General features: G+C 50.0%; 2 annotated features.

Annotated features, from left to right (window-relative positions):
• Window positions 7009-7602: an enhancer, noted in NCBI's record as "H3K4me1 hESC enhancer chr20:56358085-56358678 (GRCh37/hg19 assembly coordinates)". NCBI's record gives its function as "activates a minimal SCP1, AML or CMV promoter by ChIP-STARR-seq in naive H9 embryonic stem cells {active_cell/tissue: H9 hESC(naive)}" and the evidence as "EXISTENCE:reporter gene assay evidence [ECO:0000049][PMID:30033119]".
• Window positions 18278-18778: an enhancer, noted in NCBI's record as "H3K4me1 hESC enhancer chr20:56369354-56369854 (GRCh37/hg19 assembly coordinates)". NCBI's record gives its function as "activates a minimal SCP1, AML or CMV promoter by ChIP-STARR-seq in naive H9 embryonic stem cells {active_cell/tissue: H9 hESC(naive)}" and the evidence as "EXISTENCE:reporter gene assay evidence [ECO:0000049][PMID:30033119]".

Below are 19034 nucleotides of genomic sequence, written 5' to 3' on the forward strand. Positions count from 1 at the left end.
TCCTTGTCTGTAAATTTGCCTGTTCGTATCTTTCATCCATTTTCCCATTGGGGTTCCTCTCTTTTTTTTGTTTATGTGCCAGGTTCTTGATAAAATCCACATATTACTCCCCTGTTGATTTTAGATATTATAAATATCTTTTCTCAAGTTATCATTGTTCTGTTAATTTTGTCGAAGGTATCTTTTGTCAGCTGATGAAGCAGAAATTCTCAGTTTTGATGTAATTAAATGAATCAGGTTTTGGCTTTATGGTTTGTGCTCTTGAAATTTTGTTTCATAAACCATTCGCAATGTCTAGGTCACAAAGCTATTATCCCCATTTTCTTGCACGCTAACATTTGGTTTTTCCTTTTAAGTAAGGTCTTTGATTTCTATGGAGTCCACTTTATGTGTTGTATTAGGCAGGTCAATGCCTATTTTTCTTTAGCTCTCAAGTCCATTATTCCAACATCTATAAAATGACCCCATAGATTTCCGGCCCCTGCATCACCACATCTTGAGTCCCTGTCGGTACATGGGACTTTCTCTGCCGGGCTGCTTTGGTCTATGTGTCTGTCCTTGTATTAGTACTGCATGGTTTTTATGACTGTGTCTTTGTAGTGGGTGTTATGAGGCAAGAGGCACTTGGGGTACCCTAGTCCTGGCCCTGGGGAAGACTCCTTTTTACTCTCCTTTTGCAAAGTGGGTTTAGCTCTTCTTCATGGATTATTATTCCTCCATCTAAATGAATGTTAGTTTCATCAAAATCAAACTTGATCAGTTTGATTAAAGTTGTACTGAATTTATAGGTTCAACATATGAATCAGAGCAAGATACATCTGTTTATTCAAGTCATCTTTTATTCAAATTAAATTTTTTTTCTACATAGAGCTCTTTTGTGCTCTTGGTGAAATAAACTCTCAGGAATGTTCTAGTTTTGATTGCTCTTGCGAAAGTTATCTTCCTTTTAAAAATGTTTCTAAGATTATTTTTAATTAAATAATAATTGTGTCTATTTGTGGGGTACAAAGCAATGTTTTGATCTATGTATACACCGTAGAAAGATTCAGTCAAGCTAATCAATATATTCATCATCTCACCAACTTATCTTTTTTGTAGCGAGAACATTTAAAAATCTATCCTTTCATCAATTTTGAAATATACAGCACATAGGTATTAACTCTGATCACCATCCAGTGCAATAGATCGCTAAAACTTACTCCCTGAGTCTAACTGAAACTTTGGGCTCTTTAATCAACACTTTCCATTCCTCCCTGTGAATCCCAATCGTTCTGTTTCTTTGAGATCCACTTTTTTTAGATTTCACATATAAGTGAGATCATTACAGTATTTGTCTTTCTGTGCCTGGCTTATTTCACTTAGCATATTCCTCCAGTTCCATCCATGTTGTTGCAAATGACAAAATTTCCTTTTTTTTTTTTTTTTTAGACCAGGTCTTGCTCTGTTGCCCAGCAGGCTGGAGTGCAGTGGCACAATCTTGGCTCACTGCTACCTCCACCTCCCAGGTTCAAGTGATCCTCTTGCCTTAGCCCCGCTAGTAGCTGGGATTACAGGCATGCACCACCATGGCTGGCTAATTTTTGTATTTTTCCTAGAGACAGGGCTTCACCATGTTGGGCAGGCTGGTCTCGAACTCCTGACCTCAGGTGATCCACCTGCCTCGGCCTCCCAAAGTGCTGGGATTACAGGCGTGAGTCACCGCGCCTGGCCAATTTCCTTCTTTTTAAAGGCTGATGAGTATTTCATTGCATATATATATATATATATATATATATATATATATACCACATTTTCTTTATCCATTCATGCATTGATGGACACTTAGCTTGCTTCCACTTCTTAGCTATTGCAAATAATGCTGAAATGAACATGAGAGTGTAGATTTCTCTTCAGTGTATATACTATTTCAATTCTTCTGGATATATACACAGAGGTGGGATTGCTGGATCATGTAGTAATTCTATTTTTAGCTTTTTGAGGAACCTCCATGCTTCTTTACAAAATGGCTGTACAAATTTACATTTCCACCAACATTGTACAAGTGTTCTCTTTGCATCCTCACTAGCACTTGTTCCCATTTGTCTTTTTGACACTAGCCATTCTAACAGGTGTGAGATGGTATCTCATTGTGGTTTTAATTTGCATTTCCCTGATGATATGACATGTTGAGCATTTTTTCCTGTATCAGTTGGCCATTCTATCTCTGACCAACACGGTGAAACCCCGTCTCCACTAAAAATACAAAAATGAGTTGAGTGTGGTGGTACATGCCTGTAATCCCAGGTACTCAGGGGGCTGAGGCAGGAGAATCACTTGAACCCAGGAGGCGCAGGTTGCGGTGAGCCGAGGTCATGCCATTGCACTCCATCCTGGGCAATAGAGTGAGACTCCATTTCAAAAAACAAAACAAAACAAAAATCAAGTTATTTGTTTTCTTGCTATTGAATTGTTTGAGTTCCTTAGATATTTTGAATATCTTATCAAAATAAGATATTTAAACCCTTATCAGATGTATGGCTTGGCCATTTTTCTTTTAATCTGCACATTATCTCTTCACTCTGTTGTGTCCTTTGCTTTGCAGAAATTTTTTAGTTTGTTGTAATCCCATTTGTCTATTTCTGGTTTTGTTGCCTGTGCTTTTGAAGTCCTGTTCAAGAAATTATTGCCCAGAACAATGCTGTGAAGCTTTCCTCTATGCTTTCTTCTAGTAGCTTTATGGTTTCAGTCTTATATTTAGATATTTTAGCAATTTTGAGTTGATTTTTGTCTATGTTGCGAGATAAGGGCCCAATTTCATAGAAAGATATCTTTCCTAAAGTTTTATTTTCTAGTTCAATACTAGAAAGTGTAGAGCAGTGCTTTTGAGTTTTATCAGTCGATCTTGCTTCTAGCATTTCTGCTGCTTTGTTATCAGTTGGATATTGGGGTGTTGTTCTGTGCCTGACACTGTGCTGGCCCCTTTCAGATTGCCTCCGCACCCTGAGCCCAATAGATAGGAGTATGTCTGGGGGAGCTGTCTACACCAGCCAGAACACCTCCAGATAAAGGAGAACGGAATTTGTTATTGAGTGCACTCAAGCTGGAGTGTCTTTGTGCAAAAAAAAACCATAGATCTGATTGTCGTTTAGAGAAATGAAGAGGTGGGGGTGTCTGCTCAGCTAGAAAGGGCTGGAGGCAACTTGGGTAAACTCTCACTTGAGTTTAACTTGCTTAATAAATGGCCCCTACCCTCAAATCCCAAAGAGATCATCCTACATGTGTTCCCATGCTAACATGTAGATTTCCTTAAACATTTAGGTACTCAGTTCACCTGGAGTCCACCTGTATGCAGTTTAAGCAGGTACACCATTGTATTCTTTATATAGGGAGATGGTTTTCCTAACATCATGTACAAAACTTGGGGTCCCTGTTTGTTTTCCCCACCCTACCTCAGGTGAGGGTTTGAGGCTGAGATTTTTCACCTGTGCAGGTAGCATTTCCCCAGACTGTCAGCTCCAGGGCAGGAATCACATCTTGTTTATTTACCTTTGGAGACTGGAAAGTCCATGGGGCAGGGCTTTTGTCTGTTCTGTCTACCACATCCCACTGCATTCCTCAGCACCTCCCGGGCAGCCCTGGCAGGTGATTGGTGCTTTATGAATGCTTGGTAAATAGATGAGTGAATGAATAAATGAGGGAACGAAGGGATGAGTGGAGAGTCCCTGTGCCTGACACACAGTAAGTACCTTGTAAATGCTTAACATTTGCCCATTTAAGCTCCAGTCTCCCCATGTGTGATCTGTCTCTCTCCTCCCTCCGTGGGACCAGCTGAGGTTATGGGGGCAAAGGGGCCTTGGAACATGCAAAGTGCAAACTCGTGACCGTGTTCTTGAGTTCTGGGTCCATTCTCGAAGCCACGTATGGCCTCTCCCCTGGGGGTGCCTGCAGAGCTCACCTGCAGATTTGTTACTCGTAAGTGTCGTACACCAAGAGGGACAACAGCAGCCCCATCTTTCCAGTGCTTTTGCAGCTGATGTAAGCACAAGAAACTCAGGTGAAGAAAATGGCAAAGCACTCGAGATCAGCCACAAAACCCAAGTCAGGGCTTTATTTGATCTGTAATGGGAAGGAAAAAAAATCCCCAAACTTTTGTGGTGATAGGAAGACCGAATAGTAAGAAATAAAACCAGCACTTTGGCATAACTCAGTTGAAAAGGACGCTTGAACCCATACTCTCATGAAGAGACCTTCACATTCCAAAGGCAAACGGCTGATTCCTGCCCACGCCAAGACCACTTCCTCTAGAAATTTTGGTTGCCTGTAGGATGGAAAAATCATCTCCTGGTTTCTGGCCTGACAGCAGTGAGAACATACAACCCTATGACTGCCCCCAGTTGCTGAGAAGTGCCGGATAATGCCCCTCTCCTCTTCTTTCCAGCAAGACGGCCCAACTGAGGCCTTCACAGCCCAGTCTGGGACTCAGGTCCAGGCAGGAGAAAGGTTCACAGGGAAGCAGCTGTTCATTTGGCAAAAAAGCCTCCTGGAGGAAACACTGACGTTAAATTGCAACAGGGAAACAATGTAGGGGATAGGTGTGTTCTGGCAAGAGAAGGGCTGCAAGGAAGGAGTGTGCTGCCTCTGAGGGTGCAGGAGCACAGCCAGCTGCACAGGGGCCCAGAAGACGACTGCTCTTGCGACTGTCCTGGGCTGTGAGAATGCCTGTCCCCAACAACAGAAATCAAATCAGGACACTTGCAGCTAGTCCCCACCCATCTGTTCATCCCTGTATCCACCTATTCGCCCATCTACCCATCTAACCACCCACCCATCCACCTATCATCCATCTATCCATCCAGCCATCCATCCACCCATCCATCCATCCACCCACCCATCCATCTATCCAGAAATCTATTCATCCACCCACCCGCCCGCTTATCTATCTATCCATCCATCCATCCATCCATCCATCCATCCAACTATTTATCCATCCATCCACCTATTCTTCTTTCCATCCATCCATCCACCCATCCACCTATTCATCCATCCATCTACCTATTGATCCATTCATCCACCTATCCATCCATCCATCCATCCGTCCATCCATCCATCCATCCACCTATTCATCCATCCATCCACCTATCCATCCATCCATCCATCCATCCATCCATTTATCCACCCATCCATTTATCCATCCATCAATTTGCCCAGACACCTGCCTGTCCATTCGTCTATCTATCCACATGCCCATCCATTCTTTCATCCATCTTTTAACCCATCTCTCACCTATCCAACTGTTGATCCATACATTCATCAGTTTGTCTGTTTGTCCATCCATTCATGCATCCATCCACCTAACTACTGATTTATCCATTCATCCACTCATCTGTTTGGTTTGAGCTTCCCTAGAAAATAATGATGATGGTGGTGGTGAAGATGGTGATGGTGATGGTGATAATGATAGTGATGATATGGATGATATATTATATGTGATATGTGATAGTGCTGATATGGATGGAGGGAAGGTTCTAGGGTGAGGCTGTCCAGGTTGATTCTGGCTCTCTTGTACCAGTGAGGTGACTTTGGGCAGCCACTTCTTTTTTCTGGGCCTTGGTTTCCCTAACTGTGAATTGCAGCTAATCTTTGTGACTGACTCCCAGGTTTGTTTGTGAGGAAATGATGAGCCAGCACATGTGAAGTATGGTGTATACCTTCAATAAATGTGTTTGGATAAATAAATGAGTGCCTCCAGCCCCTGAGTGAAGTTAAAGGATAAATCAATAATTGTGGTCACTTTTGGAGTAGGGAATGAGAGAGGAGCTTAGGAATTCATTCATTCATTTACGCATTTACTTACACATTCATTCAACAAGTGCTGAGGCTGACTGTTGCCGGGCCCTGTCTTAGATATTGGGGGACACAGATGAGAAAGGGCTGTACCCTCATGGAGCTTCCCGCCTGGTTAGGGCAGGCAGGTGAGGTGGCGAGCAGCTGGTGCTCATCCAGATAATAACTGCATTGGCAAATATAAGAGAGGAGCAATGCCTGGAGCAGACCGGGGTGTGGGAGAAAGCATGGGGGGCTTCACAAAGGAGGTGGCATCTGAGTGTATGTGAGGTTTACCTGAGAGGTGACCAGGCTGTGTGTTGGAAGCGGGGCTCCAAACAGAGGAAAGCTTGCAGTCAAGGGGGCGCTGGCGATGAGAGACATCTGAGTGACCTCAGACATATGGCATCACCCTGGCCCAGGAGGTTCATCAGCCCCCTTCTTCGGTGTTCTCAGAAGTAAATATAAAATATTTAGAGCAGAAAAGTTTCTCATGCATGGTAGCTAAAGTCATTTTAAAAAATAAGCAGAAAGAAGTTCATTGAAGAACCTTCTGGGTGTGGAGAGAAAACTAACAACACCTCTGAGGTGACATAAAACCCACAGGCTTATTTACCAGCTTGAACCGACTTGAACTTTCCCAGGTTCCAACAGAGAGGCTTGGAAGGCACTCCCTGGAGCCTCCTTCCCCACCCTCCGCTGGCCCACTGGGCGCATCCTGCCCAGTGCTCCTCACACCTTCCTTCCTGAGCTCCACCATGGCCCAGCCTCCATGCCTTTTCCTTAGCTGAAATGCACACTCCCTTCCCCGCTCCCCAAAGCTGCCTTGCCCAGGAAGTCCTCTGGATTAATCAAGACAATTTGTCTGCACACAGCAGAAACCCAGTTGCTCAACTGCCACCGCCTGCAGCTAGCAGGTCCCTGGGGTAGCGTGAAAGACTGAAGGGCACCTGTGGTGACCAGACCCTCAGGGACTGGAACCGGGGCGGTATGGCAAGCTTGCTGTCACTCTCACTGTCTTTTCTGAGGGCCACGTTCTCTCCTGCTGCCGACTGACTTGTCCACAGTGCAGGGAACCCAGCAGCCACTGCTCCGTCAGCCCCAGTGACTCTGACGTGTGGATGCGGATGGGTCCCACTCAGTCCCCACGTCCAGTCGTGGACCAATTGCTGCTGCCAGGGAGCTGGGGCCTCTGGCTGAGCTGACTTGGGTCCTCACTTCAAGGGCTGTCTTGGGTTGGGTTTCCTCCGGAGCGGGTTCTAGGAGGAGGATTTGAGTGGAAGTAAGATATGGGAAGGTGAACCCCCGTTAAGCACGGCTGGGATCAGAGGAGGTAAGGCAGGAAGGGCAGGCAGGATGGGGCGTGCCCTCAGCCAGTCCCTCGGTGGCCAGCTGGGTGGGCTCCCTCCTTCCAGGGAGCACTGGAGACTGTGGGGAACACAGCACACACACCACAGAGTGATCCAGCAAGGGGCAAGGGAGCCAGGGTGCTCACCCCCACCCCACCTCACTGCATAAGGGCAGACGAAGGGTGTCAGCCAGAGGGCAGAGAGGGCCCTGATGGTCAGGGGGACAGCGTCTCTCAAGGAGGGGCTGCTGACAGCTGGACAGAAAGCCAGAGGGTGCAGAAAGGGCCATGGCCAGGGGCTGAGGGTGAGTCTCCGAGAGCCTGGGCTGTCCTGGGATCTTTCCAGGAGGAGGGCAGGTGGCCCCAGGTGACAGGCTCCTGGCCAATGAAAAGTACCCCCCTCAGTCCCCTGAGTTCCTCTGCAGGGCTGAGCTCCAGTTGCCCATGGGCATAGCCCCGGGGGATAAGGTGCCTTGACTCGCCTCCTTTCCTTCCCCGTCACCTCCTTACCCCCCTACCCCCCTACTGCTGCACCCTGGTGTTGATTCTCAAATACACTACTGTACTTGCACTTGAGTTTTGTCTCAGGATCTGTTGCTGGGGTACCCCAACCAAGACAGTGCTCCCTAAATCCTGTCTGGGCTCGGGATAGTACTATTCTGAGGGGACCCCGAGATCTTGCTTTGAAGAGTTTGGGAATAATCCCTTTGTAGGAAAGAAAGGAACTAACATTTGCCCACCACGGATAAGACAGCCAGCAGGCCTGTCACCTTTTCTTCTTATGCAATGACGCTGGGAAGTCAGTGCTATTATCAGCCCCTTTTTACAGATGAGAAAACAGTGGCTCAGAGAGAGTGGGACCTTGCTCAGCTCACACAGCTACCAAGTGACTAGGGCAGGCAGGACTTCAGCCTGGGCTCAGTGACTCTCCAGCAGTTGGGATAATGATGTTTTCCTCATCTCCAGGACTCATCTCTAAGACTCATCACTGGGGAAAACCAATTCCCTTTGATGACACGCTGGGCTGAGCTTTGCAGCTCTTGCTTTTGGGGGCAGAGTTTGGGGCAGGAGGAAGCGAGGATGTTTGCCGCAGAAACAGAAAGCTGGGGACTTGGTCCAGTCACTGGCTCAAAGCAAGTGAGTCCAGGGGGAAACTGAGGTCTGGAGAAGGTGCCACATTCTTTCCTTGCTCCCTCTTCCCCTTTCTTAAATATGTAGCCCATTCATTCATTCATTGATGGGGCACCTGCCAGCCCCCAGGCACTGTGCTGGGGCGTGGTGTGAGTCTGACATCCCACCCTGATCTCATGGTCTTACGTCATAGTGGGTGAAACAAACAGGCTAAACTAATTACAGGTTGAGGTAAGTGCTTTGCAGGAAACAAACAAGCAAATGTGTGTTTTTTGCGGGGAGGGGGCCATCTTTAGAGAGCAGAGCATGGGAAGGAGATGAGGATCAAGCAGTTCTGAAGACAACTGTGGAAACACTGCTCATTCAGTGGCATCAGCAAGTGCAAAGGTCCTGAGGTGGTAAGGTTCTCAGCACCTACAAGGAGCCAAGAGAAGGTCTGGCTGGCAGTAGTGCACAGTCAGGTTTAGGGCACGTAGAACGGGTCATCTCGGTACCCACAATGGCCCCACAGAGCCTCTGTCTCCATCTCCCCACTGCAGGGAGCCATTTTTCCTTGGGAACCTGGTTCAAAAATTTCCCAAAATATTGTTCACATTCAACAAAAGGAAGCCATCTGGCTGCCAAGCAAGAAGATGGGGACAGCCTGCCAGTTATCAACTGGACATAATTAAGTCATGGCTTTGTATCAGGCCCCTAGGGACAAGGCACGCTTTCTCCTCCCCATTGAAGGTTTGCTACCAGCAAAGAAGAGAGTGAAGTGGGTTTGCACCCTGGAGAGAGGAGGTAAAGCCAAATACTCCTCATCAGAGAAAAGCAAAAGAATCAGGAGCAAGAGCCCATCTGCAGGCCTTGAGCAGATTTCCTCATATGCCGGAGGATGTTGTCAGCCACCAAGGATGGGAGGTGCTCTCGGGGTGGGACTTGACGCTGAGAGGCCTTGCACTGACCACTCCTGGCCTCCTAGAACAGTTGGCTCCCAAGATCTGGGAGGCCCTTGGCAGTTGCCACAGCCACAAGCTTCTTGAATGACATGGTGGTCATGAGCTAAGGGCTTTGTGCATGTGGTCTCATCTCATACCCCAAAGACGTCACAGGGTAAATGTTAGGCCATTTTACAGATGAGGAAACTGAGGTTCAGAAAAGTCACAGGGTAAATGCTAAAGCCAAGGTGCAAGCCCTGATTTTGCCAGCAGCAGACTCAGGCTCTGGCCTTTTCTGTGATTTTCTCCTGTGTTTTCAAAATAAAGACAGGAGGCTGTGTAGTGGCTCCTGCCTGTAATCCCAGCACTTTAGGAGCCTGAGGCAGGAGGATTGCTTGAGGACAGGAGTTCCAGACCAGCCTGGGTAACGTAGCGAGACCCCGTCTCTACAAAAATAAAAAAAAAAATTAGCCAGGTATGGTGGCACGTGCCTGTAGTTCCAGCTAATGGGAAGCCTGAGGAACGAGGATCACTTGAGCCCTGGAGATCAAGGCTGCAGTGAGCTATGATCATGCCACTGTGCTCCAGCCTGGGTGACAGAGTCAGACCTCATTTCAGAGGAAAAAAATAATGACAGGAGCCCTGGGCTCTGCGTAGGGCTTGATGCTGAACCCAGCTGAGCCCAGTGAGTGCCAGCCCTGTTATGGTTTATTTACCCATCCCTGCCAACTTCCTCTGTGAGTCGCTGGGAGCAATTATGCTGAAAAATAAGACTGGGGCTCCCAAGCACAATCTGTGTGTGTGTGGGGCGGCGGTGGTGGGGGGCAGGGGAGCAGGGGGACTTCAGGAATGGCTTGATCAAACCTCCGGAGACTGCAGCCCCACCCTCCTTGGACTCCCTTTCTGGTTCTATCATTGGTATCCTGAAGGGACACTCCTTGGAGTCTGCTTTTTGATATTCAGTGTCACATCACATGCAGTGACGGTGTGATGGAATACAGGCAAGGCTTGGAGTCCTGCTGCCTCAGAACCACACCTGGTTTCAAATCCCATCTGCTACTTCCTGGCTTTATGACCTTGGGGCAGTGACGTTACCTCTCCTAGCCTTGGTTTGCTCATCTATAAAGTGGGGCAAACATCAGTCCCAGGGATGTTGTGAGAATGCTATGCATGATCTTGCAGACTTGTCTGCTCAGGGTCTGGAAGGTGGTGAGACCCAATGAAAGGAAGCTGTCATGACTGTGCCGAACCCCGACCCCACCGCAAGCACCGGCTGGGGTTACCGTGGCTGATCCTGACACAGACAGGCGTGGGGGACTTTCCTACTGAGGCCAAGCCCTGCACCAGGATGGCTTACTGGGTTTGTGAGCACAAAATGTAACTGTGGGGACCTATTTAAAAAATTATGGGGACTTTCAAAACAGTGACAGCCAAGCATTAAGCCAAAGGCAGGGCCCTTCTGAGCTCGAGGCCCTTCCGGGCTGTCCCCCACGACGCTGGCTCTACCACACCCAGCTAGGAACCGGAACTGTTATAACCATGCATCTTCTTTGGTGACGTGCATGTTCCAAATGTTTTGCCCAGTTTTTGCAAACTGGTTGTCTGTCTTTTTCTCACTGATTTGTTGGAATTCTTTCATGTATTCTGAATGAGTCCTTTGACAGCGGATTTTGTTGTTGTTTTTTAAATGCAGACTCAAAAAGGATGAGCAAAAGAAAGGGAAAGTGGGAAATTATGACAACAAGATTTTAGGACTTTTCAAGCGGAAGACGTGGCTGCTCAATGAGGTGTAGAAAAGAAGGTGCTCCCATGCCTCTTCTCTCTGGGGTGGGGGATGAGGCATTTGAGGCTTAGGAAGCGGGGTCATGGTCAATTCTCCACACCTCTTCCTGGCCCAGAGCTTCAGCCTGGACTTCACCCACCTCAGACTGCCTTTCCTGGCTGCGGAGTCAGAATCGTGCCTCTTCAGGAGGATGAAGGAACTCAGCCGAGGACTCGCCTGTACCCTTTTGTCCCCAGTGGGCAGCCTCAGTAGCAGAATTCCAGGGGTGTGTTTGGAGGGGACCAGTGGGGTGGAAGGAGCTCTGACCTGGGAGTCTGTGCCCAACTTCCCTGCAGGCTGGGTGGGCTCTGTGAGCCAAGGCATGCAGCTCCTCCGGGCATGTTTCCTGGGAGTTCAGGGCAAGGTCGCTCCAGCCTTCCTCCTCCCCCAGGGGAGAGTGATGGGCAGATTCAGGAGGAGCCCAGGGCTACACCCACCCTCTCAAGAGATGACCCTGGAAGGCTGTTCTGCAGGCTCCTACCCCGGCCCCCCAGGTGAGGAAGGTGGTGGGGCCTGCAGGGTTTGAAAGGGCCCAAGTCTTTAAATGGGCCCACTTCCCAGAGAGCCCTGGCCTCCCCCTCACCCGTGGGAGGTACAGGAGGAATGAAAAAGCTAAAATCATGGGCCTGGAGGAATGAATGGAGAACCAGACAAAATGAACCCATTGGCCCTGGAGGGCAGGACAGCTGCGGCTTTGGGGCTTGAGTCTGCAAACATCTGCCCCTCCCCAGACACCCAGGCTGGGGTGAAATGGGCCTGATTGGGAGGGGTGCTTCACCCACCCTGTGAAATCATCAAGAGTGAGAATAGTCACCAGCCACATGCTTCCCAGCAACCATTGCCAGGATGCTCCTCAAGCCTGCCGGGGTCTGAGGGGAGGGGACTCCAAGACCCAGCAGCAGGGGTGGGTGAAGGAGGGGGATGGAGGGTGGGGAAGGTGGGGTGGATGACGGGGATGTGGGTGGAGAGGAGGGGATGGAGGGTGGGATGGGAGGGGTGGAGAGGAATAGCGGGGTGGGTGGAGAGGAGGGGATGGAGGATGGATGGGAGGGGTGGAGAGGGATGGGGTGGGTGGACGCAGGAGTGGAGGCGAGAGTGGAGGTGGGGAGGTGGGGTAGGGTGGGACAAGATGTGTGTGGATGGAGAACATGTGGGGTACGGCAGGCTGAGGGGCAGTGACACAGCACGCACCACCCTTTCCTTCAGCTAGGCCTGCCCCTAGTCCCCCCAGCCCCCCGAGCAGACCCCACCCTCCTCAGCAACGCACACCAAGGCCTGTGGACCCCTCCAGCCACCTCCCAGTGCCCAGCTCTCCTGCCTCTGCCCTGCTGCCCTCCAGCCACGCTGGCCTCTTTCTGTTCCTTGAAGGCCCCAGGCTCTATCCCAGCCCTGGCCTTTGCCCCGGTGGCTCCCTCTGCCTGGAAGGCCTTCAGTCCCCTGTCCCATGGACACTACCTAGTGCATGGCAGAGCCAGGCTGTGGCCCAGGTCTTCGGTCTGAGGAGGCCGTGGGCTTCAGTATTTCACCATGTCGTTACCACCGTGCACTCACCAACTTGGACAGCTTAGTGGCTGCCCGGGGCCACCACAGCTCCAAGAGGGAGGGGCTCAGGGGAGTTCTGCCTCTCCGGATCACAGGCTGTGGGCAGGAAGTGACTTACCAGGGTCCCATAGTTAGTTCGGGAATCTATGACTCTTATCCCTGCCCTGGAGGTGGGGTCTGCCCTCTGTGACTTCACTCGGCTCCCTCTCCTGTTCTCACCAACTCTGACCCTGGAAGGAAGGACAGAAGGGAGGGAGGGAGAGATGACTGTCCCATCCATGGGCAATCAATGATGTCCACAGGCACAGAATTGAGTGGACCCAGGGAAGGAGGAAGAGAAGGAGAAAGTAGGGGAGGAAGTTGGTTGGGGAGGGCAGGAGGGGCCCGAGAGGCCCATTTTCTGACCTTGGGGCCACTGGTTGAGTCACACCCGGGCCTTTGAAGATTCGAGGAAGGCACCTGTGGGAGGAGTGACCTTAAGCAGATAACCTGTGGGGTCTCTGTTTCCTCATCTGTAAATTGGGGTCACAACTGCTCACGCCTCGCCCCCAGGGCCAGGACACTTGGGATGAGCACTCGTGACCTTTAATGAGCCAGGGACTGAGACTCTCACTTGGGGAGCAGAAGCAAAGCCCCCCGGGGACGGAGGGCTCACGAGGGTGGGATCTGGACATTCCCACCCTGGGCTAGTGTTCTGTTGTGTGGCCATCCTGACAGGTGTGATCATTTCGTCTTTGAGCTTGTGTTTTGTAAGTAAGACCAGGGACAGTGACACATGTGTGTTAGCAGTACAAGCGTGACCCCGTTCCCTTGCGCCCCGTCTGCATGGAGGGTTCATGATGCCCATGTACACAGAATTCTGTGGATTCACAAGGTGAGTGAGACCCAAGCTTGTGTGAGATGAGCGGTTTGCATCTATGACTGCCGGAGAGGCCACGCTTTGCTTCGGACACAGAGAAAAAGCAGGGGCACCATGCGCCATGAGCAACAGAGGGACCCCATCATTCCCTTTCTCACATCACTTCCCCATGTCAGCTGACCACCCACGCTGAAACAATGGCGCATCTTAGTCCCCCACCTTTATTAGACCATGTTGGCAAAGAGGGTGCAGGAAGATGTGTAATTTATGCTGTGAACTGGAGAGATAACTGTAAGAAATTCAACCTATAATTGTGAGGGTATTATCTCCATGACTGGAGCAGCAGGTGTCAGCCACACATGGGGAGGGACACAGCACAGCCAAAGGTAGGTGGTGTTGGTAGAATGTGCGCATATCGAGAAGCTAAGTAAAAGTGAGCGATGGCAAATATTTCTACTGTTAGTTACGGGCAAGAACACCCATGTGCACGCACAGGCCATGAAACACAAATTGTGTAATTTTGAGGATTCTGCACACAGGTTAAATGCCCTTACATTTGTATTTAATACTGACCTTGCGTCATATAAAGATGGATGACCAAATTCATGCTAATTATTTAAATATTTTAATTTACTTAGGATGATTTTGAATAGCAAATAGAAAACGCCCCGGTAAGTGAAGAGAGAGACTGCAGAGAAAAGGAAAAAGCTTTATAGCTGAGTAGGTTGAATGGCACTTTTTTCCTGCCTTCGAACAAGGGACCTGACGTTTTTATTTTGCACTGACCCCCACAAATGATGCAGCTGTCCTGCTTTCAGCAACGAGCCGGGCCCTGGTTCTCTAGTCTGTTTGTGCCCAGGATTCTGACCTGTTTGCTGCTGGGAACTGGGCATGGGGCGTAGACAGCACAGGATGTAACATGGCACCAGCGCTTGCTGAATGCCCCAGTGCCCTGCAGTGGGCTTTGCATCCATTACTTCACTTAATCCTCCCACGGGCCCTCAGAGCTGGGTCCTGCTATTATCCCCAACTTACAAAGGAAGAAACTGAGGCTTAAGAGGTGTGAAATGACTTCTGACCAGCAGACATCGAGCTCCAGCTCCTTCTATCTGTAAACTCCATGCCTTCCCCAGCCCCCATCAGGCCATCTTGCAGCTGCGCAAAGTCATCTCCAGTGGGTTCTTTGATTTTGCAAGATCTGCTTCCTTTCAACCTTTGAATATATAAGTCCCTGCCATCCTCTTATTAACTGTGTCCTTCCTTTCTCAAAGAAGTTTCCACATAAAAGTTCAGAGGGAGACAGGATGGGGAGGGGAAACTGAAAAAAGGCAGTGGATTCTTTATGTTTTATTAATTGTCAGATGTTTCTTGTTTCTTTGTTTCAACCTGGTTCGAATCCTGTTAGCCTTGGCTACGCAGATCAGAGCATAAAGGGCCACCAGCCCAGGTCTGCGGCGTCAGTTTAAGTGTTAATTATGTTTTCATATCTGCTATAAACTCCTGTTTGGGAGAGCCTGGGTGTTCTTAAAATAAATGGCAATATAAAATTGAAAACAGCTAGCATTCCTGAATCAATTTTCACATCTTATAACTTTGAAGCATAATTCATTTCTTCCTCTCGAGCGCCTGTGGCGACGGGGACAGCCTCACGCCTGCCGTGTAATTTCATAAGGAGCAAATCAGTTAGTAATCTGCAGCATCTTCGTGCCTCCCCACCCTTGGAGCCCTTAAATAAATGCAAGAAATGCCAAATCCCCCCACTTTATTAGACCTTGTTGGCGAAGAGGGTGCAGGGAAGACGTGTAATTTATGCTGTGAACTGGAGAGACAACTGTAAGAAATTCAACCTATAATTGTGAGGGTATTATCCCCATGACTGGAGCAGCAGGTGTCGGCCACATGGGGAGGGACACAGCACTGAGCTTGCACGTGTCAGAAGTGTGACACCAAGGCGATCCGTGGTTGCCTTAGTTGCCATGTTCCTTAGAATAGGCTTTTCTTTAAATATACATATATTTAAATTGAGGTATACCATACATAGAGCACACAAGTCTTGCAAAACGTGCCACTTAGTGCGTTTTTGCACATACGCCTGCTTGTCTAACCCCCACTGTGATCAAGCTATAGAGTTCCCCTTTCCCCACTCCCAGGCTGACCTTCCCGCTAGGGGAATCCCTATTCTCCCTTCTATCACCGTAAATTAGCTCTTCTTGTTCTTGTACGTTGTATACATGGAACCATACAGTATGTGACCTCGGGCACTGTCTTCTCTTACTCCTCATGATGTCTCTGCAGTTCATCCCTGTTATGTGCATAGTGGAGCCCGCTCTTTTTCACTGCTGTGTAGTATTCCATTGCATGACTCTGCCATTGTCAATTCATCTGTTGTATTGTGGATGGGTATTTCAGTTCTTTGTAGTGTGTGGGCTGTTAGGAATTGTGTTGCTATCAGCATTAGAAGAGATTTAGCTTCCTTATATTAAAAACTGGATGCCCTCCTCCCCGCCACCCTGTGCACACAATCACACACACACAGACACACACACACACACACACGTGCATGAGCACTCATGTGCACTGGAGTTTGTACCCACGCATTGTCACTGTTCTTCTCCTTCACTGTTTTGACTGACTCAGGAGTCACAGGAGCAAATGCCTTGTCCTCAGCGCCTGGCTGGGAGGCTCTGGTGACTTTCAGGAAACGAAGTCATCATTTCTAAGCCACCAGCTTCTGATTCCGCAGTTCCTCTGAAGTCTACGAGTTCCCAGGGGACGTCGTTTCCCTTCCTGGTTCCTGGCAGTGTGTTGCCTTTATTCTGAGTTAACTACTAGACCTAATTAAACAGCACCATCTCCTCAGAGTGGCTGATTTTCTTCCTGTCTGAATACAAATTAAACTCCCATGCCATTAACATTCAGGTCAGTTGATCGGAATCAACCTCTTTTAAAACTCAAAGGCCAAAGTGATTTCAAAGTCAGTCACACACCTCCCATCTGCGGGGAAGGGCCTGACGTGGTTATCTTCGAGCTGACCCAGCTTGGGAGCTGCCTGAGGACAGAAAGTTTCTTCACAACTGAGTCAGGATGACACAGTGCACGGGCTGCCCGGCGGGGTTTGCTTGGGAGGCCCAGGGTGATCAGAGACTGTGGGCCTCATTTGTTTGCTGTTTCACTCCCTGCATCATGGAGATTTAAAGTCCTTTCTTTCATTTACCCAGTCCCTTCACTGAGCAAATACGGGTTCAGTGCCAGGTACTGTGCTGGCCCTGGAGCTGCTGAGCATACGGCGTGATGTTGCATTGGGCCGCACGGATTGCACACGTGTGGGTGAGATGCGAGACAGCCAGCGTCAAGAATGTCTCAGGCTGTAACCCTGATGGTGCGTGGGGAAATGCCTGTCATGCAGTCACGCCCTTCCTCTACAGTGCACACCTGCTCCTGCAATTCTTCAAGCGGTGAGCAGCTGAGTGCTCTGCTGGTGGGTCCTCATTGAGAGCCTGAGCTGACGGTCCAGTCTCTCACCCAGGTCATTCCAGGTAGACACAGCCCCAGCATCGAGAAGGGAGCTCTCCAGGGTGTCCCTACAGTGATGATACTGCCAGATGGGGAGGGCATGGTGCCCGCCACCCCTCAGCAAGGCGGGAAGGCTCCAGGGCCCTGACCATTTCCCACGGCGTTTCTGTGGATGTGAAAACTTTCCTCGCCCTCAGAAGTGGGTGTGTTAAGTGCAACCGTTGACCGGGGGCAACTTCTGAACCCTTAGGAAACAGGGATCGTTTCCTTCCCTGGCCGTCTGGTTCCAAGTCAGGGACGTAGTGGATATTACAATTTGGGGACGACCACAGGCTGGGCCCTGCTGACGGCCTTGCATAGTTGGCTTGTTTAGAGTGGAGCAGATGTCAGGGAGTCTGACTGAGAGTGGATTAATGAGGGCACAAAGGCTGAAGGTTCACAGTGCTCGGGGGGTCGGGGGTGGGAGGGGTGAGGGGATAGGGTGGGGCTGTGTGTGTGCAGGCTGCAAAGCCGGCCCAAGACTGACTCACCTGTCATGGGAGCCCTGGAGGGGTCTGCGGGGCTGTCATCATTTGGAATCAGAAACAAGACATCTTGGCTGAGTTGTGCCAGTCAGGGTTCAAGTTCCCTGTACTCAGTTGGCCTCCTTGGCCTCGGTTTCCCCGCCTCTAAATGGAAGGATGTAGCAGCTATGGTCGTCTGCTTCCCAGCAGCCATGCTGCCGTTCTCTCTCCTACAGTGGCCTGGCTTCGTTCAGGGATCCACCGTCGTCCAGGTGGTCCAAGCCCTGGCTCCAGCCTAGTCAATCAAGGCAGTCCCATTTCTCCAGGGGTTCATGTGTGCCCAGCTGTGACCAGTGAGAACTGAAGAGAGGCGGTTCTGGGACATTTTCTTTGTTCTGAAAAGAAGATGCACCTGGAGCCGTGTCCCCATCCTGTTGTGTGTAGTCCTGTCTGCATGTCATTCCTGGGGCCCTGGCAGCCATCTTGGAACCATGAGGGGACCCTTCACAGCCAAGCCAATGTGTCAAGGTGGTGGAGCAGCAGGGGGTTTGGGAAGAACCTGATTCCTTCATAACCATTGACCAACCCTAAAGCTCCCTCGCCCCTGGGTTTCTTGGCAGGCCAGAAATTCAGGTCCTCTTCACGTATGCCACTTTGAGCTGGGCTCCCTGCTGCTGGCAGCTGAAATCCTATGAGATAGAGGAGGAGAGAGTGAGGAGGGTGGGGATGGTCACTCAGGCAGGACGCTCTGCCCTGATGCCCTCTCATTCCTCATGGCCTTAGAGAGCTCAGTTCCAAACACAGCAATGATAGCGAAGGATTTATCACCAGTGCGCAGAATAGGGGGGTAGTTAGTGGAGGAAAAGTTAGTGAGAGGAGACATCTCACGTAGGGGATTTCTTGCTGAACTGAATTAACGGGATCCCTGCTGAAGGCAGGCCATGGTGATGAGATGTAAAGTGTGGGGGATGAGGAGCTGGATCAGGTGCCAAGGGAGAGGGGAATGACTTCTCAGCATTCTCCGTTAAAGCTGGCCCAAGCAGGCGAGGGCAGGGCCCAAACTTGAGGCCTGGCTGAGAAGAGGCCTCAGAGGATCCTGCCTGAAGTGTGGTCAAGGACAGAGTCATCATCGGTCCTCAGCAGTCAGCACCTTTCGAGGGTGGCTTTGGCTGAAGGAAAGTGCCTCACTAATCTCACGCCTCCTTTCAGGATGGCTCATGCCCAGCGACTGATCAGCGCAGGGATGTGAAGGCCTGGACCTTTGCCCCAACTCAGAACACGTCTAAGGGGCCACTCCAGCTCCAGAGCCGCCTGTGGAGTTGGCTGAGGCCCGTGTTGAGGCCATGCTGCATCTCGATTCCTCCCTTTCCCCATCCTGCCTCTGTCCCCTCCCAAAGGCGTCCAGCTCGAGGGCACACCCTAGTAAAGTCGTGCCTGGGGAAAGTCAGGCCAGATGAGCCTACAGACCCACCATGCTGCTAGAACAGTGTGGTTAGGAACTCCCCAGTGTTTGTTTTGCCAAATTGCTCTGGAAAATAGAGGCGCTTTGGGAGGGGAGAGTGGGCGTGAAGGAGAGCAGGGTGTGAGAGGGGAG

The sequence above is a fragment of the Homo sapiens genome, chromosome 20 (assembly GCF_000001405.40).
Source record: "Homo sapiens chromosome 20, GRCh38.p14 Primary Assembly".
In the NCBI taxonomy this organism is placed as follows: Eukaryota; Metazoa; Chordata; class Mammalia; order Primates; family Hominidae; genus Homo; species Homo sapiens.